Source organism: Homo sapiens, chromosome 16, assembly GCF_000001405.40.
Source record: "Homo sapiens chromosome 16, GRCh38.p14 Primary Assembly".
NCBI classification, from domain to species: domain Eukaryota; kingdom Metazoa; phylum Chordata; class Mammalia; order Primates; family Hominidae; genus Homo; species Homo sapiens.
Window position 1 is genome coordinate 46,485,114 of NC_000016.10, and position 13,618 is coordinate 46,498,731.

Consider the following 13,618-nt stretch of genomic DNA (forward strand, 5'->3'; position numbering starts at 1 on the left):
AAAACAAGTACTTCTAGATCTATGAAAAGACTTAGTTAGCCACCCAATTATAGTTAAAAATTTCAACACCTCATTGGCAGCATTAGACAAATTGCTGACACAGAAAAGTAACAAAGACATTCTAGAATTAAATTTAACATTTCACCTATTGAACTTAATTGACACTTACAGAATCCTCCACCCAACAATCACAGAATGTACTTTCTTCTCATCGGCACAGGGAACACACTCTGAGATCGACCACATGCTCAGCCATAAAGCAACTCTCAATACATTTTTTAAAAACTGAAAGTATACCAAGCATAATATCTCAGACCCTAGTGGAATAAAAATAGAAATCCATACCAAAAATTTCTCTCAATGTCACATAATTATATGAAAATTAAACAACTTGCTCCTGAATGACTTTTGGGTAAACAACAAAATAAAGACAGATATTAAAAACTCTTGAAAATAAATAAAAACAGAGACAGAACACGCCAAAATTTCTGGGATACAGCAAAACCAGTATTAAGAAAAAAGATTATAGCACTAAATACAGACATCAAGAAGCCAGAAAGGTCTCAAACTAACAAAATCGCACCTACTAGAACTAGCAAAACAAAAACCAAATAACCTCAAAGCTAGCAGAAGTAAAGAAATAACTAAAACCAGAGCAGAACTGAATAAATTTGCGACACAAAAATCCTTACAAGTAATCAACAAAACCAAAAGTTTGTCCTTTGAAAGGATAAATGAGATCGATAGCTAGCTAGCTACATTAACAAAGAAAAAATAGAGAAGATTCAAATAAACACAATCAGAAATGGCAAAGATGGCATTACAATGGATCCCACAGAAATACAAAATATCATCAAAGACTATTATGAACACCTCTATGCACAGAAACTAAGAAATCTAGAGGAAATGGATAAATTCCCAGAAATACAAAACCTCCCAAGATTGAACCAAGACGAAATTAAAATCCTTAACAGACAATAACAAGTTCTGAAATGGAATCAGTAATTTAGAAACCTAGTAACCAAAGAAAAAGCCCTGAACCTATTGGATTCAGAGCCAAATTCTACCAGACATACAAAGAAGATCTGTTACCAATCCTACTGAAACTATTCCAAAGTATCGAGTTTGAGAGACTCCTCCCTAACTCATTCTATGAATACAGCATCATCTTGATATTAAAAGCTGAAAGAGATGCAGTGAAAAAAGAAAACTGCAGGACAATATCTCTGAAGAACATAGACACAAAAATTCTCAACAAAACATTAACAAACCAAATCTTGCAACACATCAAAAATTCACTTTTTTTTTTTTTTTTTTTTTTTTGAGACGGAGTCTCGCTCTGTGGCCCAGGCTGGAGTGCAGTGGCGTGATCTCAGCTCACTGTAAGCTCCACCTCCCGGATTCAAGCCATTCTCCTGCCTCAGCCTCCCGAGTAGCTGGGACTACAGGTGTCCACCACCATGCCCAGCTAATTTTTTTGTATTTTTAGTAGAGACGGGGTTTCACTGTGTTAGCCAGGATGGTCTCGATCTCCTGACCTCGTGATCCACCCACCTCGGCCTCCCAAAGTGCTGGGATTACAGGCAAGAGCCACCGTGCCTGACCCAAAATTCACTTTTTTACAATCTGACAGGCTTTATTTCTGGGATGCAAAGTTGGTTCAACATATACAAAGTAATAAATGTGATTCACCACATAAACAGAATTCTTAAAAACCACATGATCGTCTCAACAGATGCAGGAAAAACTTTCAGTAGACTCGCAATATTCCTTCATGATCAAAACATTCAACAAATTAGGCATCAAAGTAACATACCTGAAAATAATGACAGCCACCTATGACAAACACACAGCCAACATCATACTCGATGGGCTAACCTTGGAACCATTTTCCTTCAGAACTGGAACAAGAAAAAGATGCCCACTCTCTCCATTCCTATTCAACATAGTACTAGAAGTCCTAGCCAGGGCAATCAGGCAAGAGAAAGGAATTAAAGGCATCCAAGTAAGAACTGAAGAAGTCAAACTATCTCTCTTTTCAGATGATATGATTGTACACCTAGACAGCCCTAAAGACTGTCAAAACGCTCCTAGATCTGACAGCAATTTCAGTAAAGTTTCTAGTTACAAAATCAACGTGGAAATATTAGCAGCATTTCAATACACCAATAGTGTTTAAGGTGAAAGCCAAATCAAGAACACAATCCCATTTATAAATAGCCACAAAAAAAAAAATACCGGGAAATGCATCTGACCAAATAAATGAAAGATTTCTACAAGAAGAACTATACACAATGCCAAAAGAAATCAGAAATTAAACAAACAAATGAAAAAAATCCATGCTCATGGATTGGAAGAATGAGTATCATCAAAATGCTTATACTGCCCAATGCAATCTACAAATTCAATCCACACTATTCCTATCAAGCTACCAACACCATTTTTTCACAGCGTTAGGAAAAATGACTCTAAAACTCATAGAACCAAAAAAGAGCCACACTAGCCAACCAATCCTGAGGAAAAAAAAGCTGGAGGCATCAGTCTACCTGACTTCAAATTATATTACAAGGATACAGTAACCACAACACACGGTTTTGGTATAAAAGCAAATACAAAGACCAACAGAAAGAATAGAGAACCCAGAAATTAATCCACATATTTACAGCCATCTTATTTTTGATAAAATGTCAAGAACATCCATGGGGGAAAGAACATTCTCATCAACAAATAAGGCTGGGAACACTGGATATCTGTAGGCAGAAGAATGAAACTAGATCCTTATAGTTCTCCATATACAGAAATCTACTGTAAATGGATTAAAGAAAATTTAAGAACCAAAATTATAAAACTACTAGAAGAGAACATAGCAGAAATGCTTCAGTACCTTGGTCTAGGCAAAGCTGTGATGACTAAAACATCAAAAACACAGGCGAAAACTGACCAATGAGACTATATTAAAATTTAAGTTTCTTCATAGCAAAGGGAACAACCAACAGAGTGAAGAGACAATCTGTAGAATGGAAGAAAATGTTTGCAATTTATTCATCTGACAAAGGTCTAATATTCAGCTTATATAAAGAGCTCAAACAACCCAACAGCAAAAACAAAATTAATAATCTGATTAAAAAGTGGGCAAAGGATCTGAATAGACATTTTTCAAAAGAAGATGTACAAATGGCCAACAAATATATGAAAAATACTCAACATCAGTAATTATCAGGAAATGAAATAAATCTGCAATGAGATATCATCTCACTACAGTTAGAATGGCTACTATCAAAAAGACAGAAAGTAAAAAATGCTGGTGAGGTTGCAGAAAAAGGAAACTCTTATGCACTGTTGGAGGGAATGTAAATTAGTATAGCCATTAAGGAAAACAGTATGGAGGTTTCTTAAAAACTAAAAATAGAACTATAAAACAATCCAACAATCCCACTACTGAGTATTTATCAAAAAGAAAGAAAATAAATGTATCAAAGAAATACCAGCACTGCCATTTTTATTGTATCACTATTTATAATTACTAAGATATGGAATCCACCTAAATGTTTATCAACAGATGAATGCATAAAGAAAATGTGGTATCTGTACACAATGGAAGACTATTCAGCCATAAAATAGAATAAAATTATATCATTCTCAGCCACATAGATGACCTTAGAGGACATTATGTTAAGTAGAATAAGTCAGGCACAGAAGAACAAATGCTGTATGTTCTCACTCATGTGGGAGCTAAATTTTTTTTAAAAATGAGTTCGTGGTAGTAGAGAAAAGAACTGTGGACATTAGAGTCTGGGAAATGAAGGGGAGTGGGGGATGGGGTGAGGTTGGTTAATGGAAAAGAAATTATCACTAGATAGAATGAACTCTAGTGTTCTGTGGCATTGTAGGGTGAATATGATTAACTATGATTTATTGTATTTTTTTGAAAGCTAGAAGAGAGGATTATAAATGTTCACAAAAAAAAGAATGGTAAATGGTTGAAGTGCTTGATATAATAATTAACCTGATTTGACGATTATACGTTGTTTACATGTATCAAAATATTACTGTGTATCCTATAAATATGTACAAATATACATGACCACAGAATATAAAAGAAAGCCAGGCATGGCGTAACATGCCTGTAGTCACAGCAATTTGGGAGGCTGAAGCAGAAGGATCCCTTGAGCTCAGGAGTTTAAGGCCAGCCTGAGTAACACAGTGAGATCCATTTCTAATATACATAAATAGATAAATAATAAAAATAGAAGAAAAAAATTTATCCTATAAAGAAGTAGACTGTGGGCCAACCCTACTGACTTGCCTCTAATGAAGAAATGTGGTAAAAGTGATACCACGTGTCTTCCAACATTAAGTTAGAAAAGGCCCTCTACCTCACACTGCTTGTCCTTGGAACTTAGACCCCACGTTGTGAGGAAGCTCAGGCCACAAAGATAGCCTAAGAGTTCCAATGAAGGTATTTCAGCTGCCTGCCCCAACTAAAGTTTCAGTCAATGGCCATCATGAACAACCAGACAGTTAGGGAACATGCCTTCATAGGATTCCAGTCCTCCAACCTCTGATTTATCCCAAGTGAAGCTCAGGGGAATGGAGACAAGCTGTCCTGGCCAAAGTTTTCCCCACCCACAGATGGCTGAACTAAATAAATGTTGTTTTCAGCAACTCAACTTTGGGTAATTTGTTAGGAAAAAATAAACAGAAAATTTGATTTAAACAAAGAGACATCAAGAAAAAATAACTTATGGGAGCCAAGATGGCCAAATAGGAACAGCTCCAGTCTACAGCTCCCAGCGTGAGCAACACAGAAGACGGGTGATTTCTGCATTTCCAGCTGAGGTACCAGGTTCATCTCATTGGGGAGTGCCAGACAGTGGGTGCAGGACAGTGGGTGCAGTGCACCGTGCGGGAGCCAAAGCAGGGCGAGGCATCGTCTCACCTGGGAAGCGCAAGGGGTCAGGGAATTCCCTTTCCTAGTCAAAGAAAAGGGTGACAGATGGCACCTGGAAAAACGGGTCACTCCCACCCTAATACTGCACTTTTCCAATGGGCTTAACAAACGGCACACCAGGAGATTATATCCCGCACATGGCTCGGAGGGTCCTACGCCCATGGAGCCTCGCTCATTGCTAGCACAGCAGTCTGAGATCAAACTGCAAGGTGGCAGCAAGGCTGGCGGAGGGGCGCCCGCCATTGCTGAGGCTTGAGTAGGTAAACAAAGCACCTGGGAAGCTCGAACTGGGTGGAGCCCACCACAGCTCAAGGAGGCCTGCCTGCCTCTGTAGGCTCCATATCTGGGGGCAGGGCACAGACCAACAAAAGGCAGCAGTAACCTCTGCAGACTTAAATGTCCCTGTCTGACAGCTTTGAAGAGAGTAGTGGTTCTCCCAGCACGCAGCTTGAGATCTGAGAACAGGCAGACTGCCTCCTCCAGTGGGTCCCAGACCCCCAAGTAGTCTAACTGGGAGGCACCCCCCAGTAGGGGCGGACTGACACCTCACACGGCCAGGTACTCCTCTGAGTCAAAACTTCCAAAGGAACGATCAGGCAGCAGCATTTGCGGTTCACCAATATCTGCTGTTCTGCAGCCACCGCTGCTGATACCCAGGCAAACAGGGTCTGGAATGGACCTCGAGCAAACTCCAACAGACCTGCAGCTGAGGGTCCTGACTTTTAGAAGGAAAACTTAACAAACAGTAAGCACATCCACACCAAAAACCCATCTGTACATCACCATCATCAAAGACTGAAGGCAGATAAAGCCACAAAGATGGGGGAAAAAACAGAGCAGAAAAACTGGAAACTCTAAAAATCAGAGCACCTCTCCTCCTCCAAAGGAATGCAGCTCCTCATCAGCAATGGAACAAAGCTGGACGGAAAACGACTTTGACGAGTTGAAAGAAGAAGGCTTCAGAAGATCAAACTACTCCGAGCTAAAGGAGGAAGTTTGAACCAATGGCAAAGAAGTTAAAAACCTTGAAAAAAATTAGATGAATGGCTAACTAGAATAACCAATGCAGAGAAGTCCTTAAAGGAGCTGATGGAGCTGAAAACCATGGCATGAGAACTACATGATGAATGCACAAGCCTCAGGAGCTGATGCGATCAACTGGAAGAAAGGGTATCAGCGATGGAAGATGAAATGAATGAAATGAAGTGAGAAGATACGTTTAGAGAAAAAAGAATAAAAACAAATGAACAAAGCCTCCAAGAAATATGGGACTATGTGAAAAGACCAAATCTACGTCTGATTGGTGTACCTGAAAGTGACAGGGAGAAAAGAACCAAGTTTGAAAACACTCTGCAGGATATTATCCAGGAGAACTTCTCCAATGTAACAAGGCAGGGCAACATTCAAATTCAGGAAATACAGAGAATGCCACAAAGATACTCCTCGAGAAGAGCAACTCCAAGACACATAATTGTCAGATTCACCAAAGTTGAAATGAAGGAAAAAATATTAAGGGCAGCCAGAGAGAAAGGTGGGGTTACCCACAAAGAGAAGCCCAACAGACTAACAGCTGATCTCTCAGCAGAAACTCTACAAGCCAGAAGAGAGTGGGGCCAATATTCAACATTCTTAAAGAAAAGAATTTTCAACCCAGAATTTCATATCCAGCCAAACTAAGCTTCATAAGTGAAGGAGAAATAAAACACTTTACAGACAAGCAAATGCTGAGAGATTTTGTCACCACCAGGCCTGCCCTAAAAGAGCTCCTGAAGCAAGCACTAAACATGGAAAGGAACAACCAGTACCAGCCACTGCAAAAACATGCCAAATTGTAAAGACCATTGAGGCTAGCAAGAAACTGCATCAACTAATGAGCAAAATAACCAGCTAACATCATAATGACAGGACCAAATTCACACATAACAATACTAACCTTAAATGTAAATGGGCTAAATGATCCAATTAAAAGACACAGACTGGCAAATTGGATAAAGAGTCCAGACCCATCAGTGTGCTGTATTCAGGAAACCCATCTCACATACAGAGACACACATAGGCTCAACATAAAGGGATGGAGGAAGATCTACCAAGCAAATGGAAAACAAACAAAGGCAGGGGTTGCAATCCTAGTCTTGGATAAAACAGACTTTAAACCAACAAAGATCAAAAGAGACAAAGAAGGCCATTACATAATGGTAAAGGGATCAATTCAACAAGAAGAGCTAACTATCCTAAATATACATGCACCCAATACAGGAGCACCCAGATTCATAAAGCAAGTCCTTAGTGATCTACAAAGAGACTTAGACTCCCACACAATAATAATTGGAGACTTTAATACCCCATTGTCAACATTAGACAGATCAACAAGACAGAAAGTTAACAAGGATATCCAGGAATTGAACTCAGCTCTGCACCAAGCAGACCTAAGAGACTCTACAGAACTCTCCACCCTAAATCAACAGAATATACATTCTTTTCAGCACCACACCACACCTATTCCAAAATTGACCACATAGTTGGAAGTAAAGCACTCCTCAGCAAATGTAAAAGAACAGAAATTATAACAAACTGTCTCTCAGACCACAGTGCAATCAAACTAGAACTCCGGATTAAGAAACTCACTCAAAACCGCTCAACTACATGGAAACTGAACAACCTGCTCCTGAATGACTACCAGGTACATAATGAAATGAAGACAGAAATAAAGATGTTCTTTGAAACTAACGAGAACAAAGACACAACACACCAGAATCTCTGGGACACATTCAAAGCAGTGTGTGGAGGGAAATTTATAGCACTAAATGCCCACAAGAGAAAGCAGGAAAGATCTAAAATTGACACCCTAATATCACAATTAAAAGAACTAGAGAAGCAAGAGCAAACACATTCAAAAGCTAGCAGAAGGCAAGAAATAACTAAGATCAGAGCAGAACTGAAGGAAATAGAGACACAAAAAACCCTTCAAAAAATCAGTGAATCCAGGAGCTGGTTTTTTGAAAAGATCAACAAAATTGATAGACCACTAGCAAGACTAATATAGAAGAAAAAAGAGAAGAATCAAATAGATGCAATAAAAAATGATAAAGGGGATATCACCACCGATCCCACAGAAATACAAACTACCATCAGAGAATACTATAAACACCTCTACGCAAATAAACTAGAAAATTTAGAAGAAATGGATAAATTCCTCGACACATACACCCTCCCAAGACTAAACCAGGAAGAAGTTGAATCTCTGAATAGACCAATAACAGGCTCTGAAATTGAGGCAATAATTAATAGCTTACCAACCAAAAAAAGTCCAGGACCTGATGGATTCACAGCCGAATTCTACCAGAGGTACAAGGAGGAAATGGTACCATTCCTTCTGAAACTATTCCAATCAATAGAAAAAGAGGGAATCCTCCCTAACTCATTTTATGAGGCCAGCATCATCCTGATATCAAAGCCTGACAGAGACACAACAAAAAAAGAGAATTTTAGACCAATATCCTTAATGAACATTGATGCAAAAATCCTCAATAAAATACTGGCAAACTGAATCCAGCAGCACATCAAAAAGCTTATCCACCATGATCAAGTGGGCTTCACCCCTGGGATGCAAGGCTGGTTCAACATATGAAAATCAATAAACGTAATCCAGCATATAAACAGAACCAAAGACAAAAACCACATGATTATCTCAGTAGATGAAGGAAAGGCCTTTGACAAAATTCAACAACCCTTCATGCTAAAAACTCTCAATAAATTAGGTATTGATGGGAGATATCTCAAAATAATAAGAGCGACCTATGACAAACCCACAGCCAATATCATACTGAATGGACAAAAACTGGAAGCATTCCCTTTGAAAACTGGCACAAGACAGGGATGCCCTCTCTCACCACTCCTATTCAACATAGTGTTGGAAGTTCTGGCCAGGGCGATCAGGCAGGAGAAGGAAATAAAGGGCATTCAGTTAGGAAAAGAGGAAGTCAAATTGTCCCTGTTTGCAGATGACATGATTGTATATCTAGAAAACCCCCATCATCTCAGCCCAAAATCTCCTTAAGCTGATAAGCAACTTCAGCAAAGTCTCAGGATACAAAATCAATGTGCAAAAATCACAAGCATTCTTATACACCAATAACAGACAGAGAGCCAAATCATGAGTGAACTCCCATTCCTAATTGCTTCAAAGAGAATAAAATACCTAGGAATCCAACTTACAAGGGACGTGAAGGACCTCTTCAAGGAGAACTACAAACCACTGCTCAATGAAATAAAAGAGGATACAAACAAATGGAAGAACATTCCATGCTCATGGGTAGGAAGAATCAATATCGTGAAAATGGCCATACTGCCCAAGGTAATTTATAAGACTCAATGCCATCCCCATCAAGCTACCAATGACTTTCTTCACAGAATTGGAAAAAAACTACTTTAAAGTTCATATGGAACCAAAAAAGAGCCTGCATCGCCAAGTCAATCCTAAGCCAAAAGAACAAAGCTGGAGGCATCACGCTACCTGACTTCAAACTATACTACAAGGCTACAGTAACCAAAACAGCATGGTACTGGTACCAAAACAGAGATATAGACCAATGGAACAGAACAGAGGCCACAGAAATAATACCACACATCTACAACCATCTGATCTTTGACAAACCTGACAAAAACAAGCAATGGGGAAAGGATTCCCTATTTAATAAATGGTTCTGGGAAAACTGGCTGGCCATATGTAGAAAGCTGAAACTGGATCCCTTCCTTACACCTTATACAAAAATTAATTCAAGATGGATTAAAGACTTAAATGTTAGACCTAAAACCATAAAAACCCTTAGTAGAAAACCTAGGCAATACCATTCAGGACATAGACATGGGAAAGCACTTCAAGTCTAAAACACCAAAAGCAATGGCAACAAAAGCCAAAATTGACAAATGGGATCTAATTAAACTAAAGAGCTTCTGCACAGCAAAAGAAACTACCATCAGAGTGAACAGGCAACCTACAAAATGGGAGAAAATTTTTGCAACCTACTCATCTGACAAAGGGCTAATATCCAGAATCTACAATGAACTCAAACAAATTGACAAGAAAAAAACAAACAACCCCATCAAAAAGTGGGCAAAGGACATCAACAGACACTTCTCAAAAGAAGACATTTATGCAGCCAAAAAACACATGAAAAAATGCTCATCACTGGCCATCAGAGAAATGCAAATCAAAACCACAATGAGATACCATCTCACACCAGTTAGAATGGTGATCATTAAAAAGTCAGGAAACAATAGATGCTGGAGAGGATGTGGAGAAATAGGAACACTTTTACACTGCTGGTGGGACTGTAAACTACTTCAACCATTGTGGAAGTCACTGTGGCGATTCCTCAGGGATCTAGAACTAGAAATACCATTTGACCCAGCCATCCCATTACTGGGTATATACCCAAAAGATTATACACCATGCTGCTATAAAGACACATGCACACATATGTTAATTGCAGCACTATTCACAATAGCAAAGACTTGGAACCAACCCAAATGTCCAAAAATGATAGACTGGATTAAGAAAATGTGGCACATATACACCATGGAATACTATGCAGCCTTAAAAAATGATGAGTTCATGTCCTTTGTAGGGACATGGATGAAGCTGGAAACCATCATTCTCAGCAAACTATGGCAAGGACAAAAAACCAAACACCGCATGTTCTCACTCATAGGTGGGAATTGAACAAGAAGAACACATGGACACAGGAAGGGGAACATCGCACACCGGGGCCTGTTGTGGGGTGGGAGGAGGGGGGTGGGATAGCATTAGGGATATACTAATGCTAAATGACAAGTTAATGGGTGCAGCACACCAACATGGCACATGTATACATATGTAACAAACCTGCATGTTGTGCACATGTACCCTAAAACTTAAAGTATAATAATAATAATAAAATAAAAAATAAAAATAAAAAAAAGAAATTAAGTACAATTTCCCCTTTACCTTACTTTGAGCCTGTTTGTATGAAGAAGGTGAGACCATCTCATCTTTATTTTGTAACAAAATGCTTCTCCATATCATACAAATTGAGCAAGACATGTTACTGCACAAGGATAGACATAGACCAGCATATTGGAATTGAGAATCCAAAATTAAATCTGTATGTTTGTGTTCAATTGATTTTCAACAAGAGTTAAAAAGCAAATGAGAAAAGAATAGTATTTTCAACAAATGGTATCATCTCACCAAATGCCATATCTAAACATTTATTCAAAATAGAACAGCTAAATGTGAGAGCTAAAACTATAAAATTCTTAGATGAAGACACAGGCATAAATCTTTGTGACTGCATTTGCCAGTGGTTTCTTAGACATAACACCAAAAGGAAAAATAGATTAACTGGACTTGATCAAAATTTGGAACTTGAGCAGGAACCATCAGGAAAGCAAAGAGGAAGGCCATTGAGTAGAAATAAATATTTGAAAATCATGCATCTGATAAGGGACTTACACCTAGGATATAAAAACAACTCTTAAAATTTAGAAATAAAAAACCAATTTAAAAATGGGCAAAGGATTTGAATAGATATTTCTCCAAAGAAGATATACAAATGGTTCATAAGCACATAAAAAGATGCTTAAAGTCATTAGTCATTAGAAGAATGCAAATCAAAACCACAATAAAGTACCACATAGCACTACTAGAATGAAATCTTTTCTCAATCAAAAATATGGAAAATTTTGGCAAGGGTATGAAGACATTAGAACACCCTCATGATGCTGAGAAGAATGTAAAATGGTGCAGCCACTTTGGAAAACAGACTGGCAGCTCCTCAAAGAGTTAACACATGACTCAGCAATTCCACTCATAAGTATAACCCCAACAGAAATGAAAACATATGCAAACACAAGCACTTTTACATAAAAGTTCACGGCAGCTTTGTTAATAACAGTCCAAACTGGAAACAACCCGATGGTCCAACAATTGATGAATGGATAAATAAAATGATTGGTATATTCACACAATGGAATATTACTCAGCAATTAGAAGAAATTAAGTACTGATACCTGCTACCACACAGAAAACCCTTAAAATCTTACGCTAAGTGAAAAAAAAAAGTCACAAAAGACCACATATTGTGTGCTTCCACTGATAGAAAACATCCAGAATGGACAAATCTATACAATCAAAGGAGACTGGTGGTTCCCTGGAGCTGAGTAAAAAGGGGGAAACTGGTCAATGATAGCTTAGGGATGCAGAGTTTCTTTTCAGGGTCATAAAAATGTTCTAAAATTGATGGTGGCAATGGTTACACAACTGTGTGAATATACTAAGAAACTGTGAATTGTACACTTTACACAGATGAACTGTATGGTAGGTGAATTGTATCTTAATAAAGTTGTTTTTAAAAATCAAATGGCAGGATTTTGATAAATTTCCTACTTCTCTACTTTGGATTATATACTATACATGATCTGAATATTTCTGTTTTACAATATATTTAAAAGAAACAAAATAGGAAGGAAATGCCTAACATTTCAAGTAGTTTGTAAACTAATCTAAAACATTTGTATTTTGAAGACCAGTATAACAGTCTTTCCTGTACATGTTATCCTGAAATACATGAAATAAATATACAGAGATTCTGTACCCATTCACAAAAGTAAAGATAAGAAATAAGACAATTTTCTGAAATAAACATTATCCTCTGATTTAATCTCGTGTGCCTCATCATGGCAATAGAGAAAAATCACTAAAAATTACTGTTTCACAGAAAAAAAGTCTCTCAACTTTTGTGAGAAATGATGTCTAATTCTCAACTTTTCCTGAAGGTAAATATTATAAGAAAAATATGTACATACTTAAGAGGAAAAAATGACAGAATAAAAGTCAAGAGGTTAAGAAATAAGTACATTATAATGATAATAAAATTGTAATAAAATTAATTATAATGAAAACAAAAAAGAAAGCTGTTCACTGAAATTAGTATACTAAAACACTTCATATTATTTAACCAGCTATAGACTAACTGTTGACATGTTACATTTTATACATACTTGACTTCTGATTTGATCTGATTTCCTCTTTGAGGCCTGTGTTTCATCTAAATTAACATAACATGGTGTAGCCTCTAGTGGAGGCTCTGATATAGGTTGTTTTTTTACAGTATCAGCCAGTTCTTGTTGAAGTTGTCTCATAATTTCCTGTAAAGATATTTTTGTTATTGATTTTATGTCACCTTGTTATTAAATGATGGTCATAGAATTTAACTCTAACATAAATACTTTGAAAAATATTACCACATACATTGATTCACCTACTTTTCCGCATGTGTAATGAACATTCCTGTTCAATACTGAATTCAGTTAAGGACAGAAAAGGTGCTATTTTCCCACCAAATCAGTATTCTGTAACTTAGACAACAGATACAGCCCATTATACATTCATCACCTAAGTTTGCAATGCTTAATCATCTACTGAAGTCTCAGAAAGAAATGGGTATGTGAGTGAGACTAGTGGTGGTAAATTCTATACTCTGAAATGTTTTCTCTCTTCTTTATTAGAAGTTCAAATCAACTTCACAATTCCTCATTTATTCAATTGCCTGCTCAAATCCTTCCAATAGATTGCTGTATCGAAATAAAACTAAAATTTCAATGGCCTTTGAGGCCCTTGATAATCTT

The 13,618-nt window shown here is 37.6% G+C and overlaps 1 pseudogene across 1 annotated transcript in view; it reads right to left on the reverse strand.

Annotated features, from left to right (window-relative positions):
• ANKRD26P1 (ankyrin repeat domain 26 pseudogene 1) overlaps positions 1 to 13,618 on the reverse strand; it is a 99,761-nt pseudogene that overhangs the window by 15,777 nt on the left and 70,366 nt on the right. Inside the window, exon 12 of the transcript NR_026556.1 lies at positions 12,992 to 13,138. The product of NR_026556.1 is annotated as an ankyrin repeat domain 26 pseudogene 1 (transcript). The remainder of the gene's footprint in view (positions 1 to 12,991; positions 13,139 to 13,618) is intronic.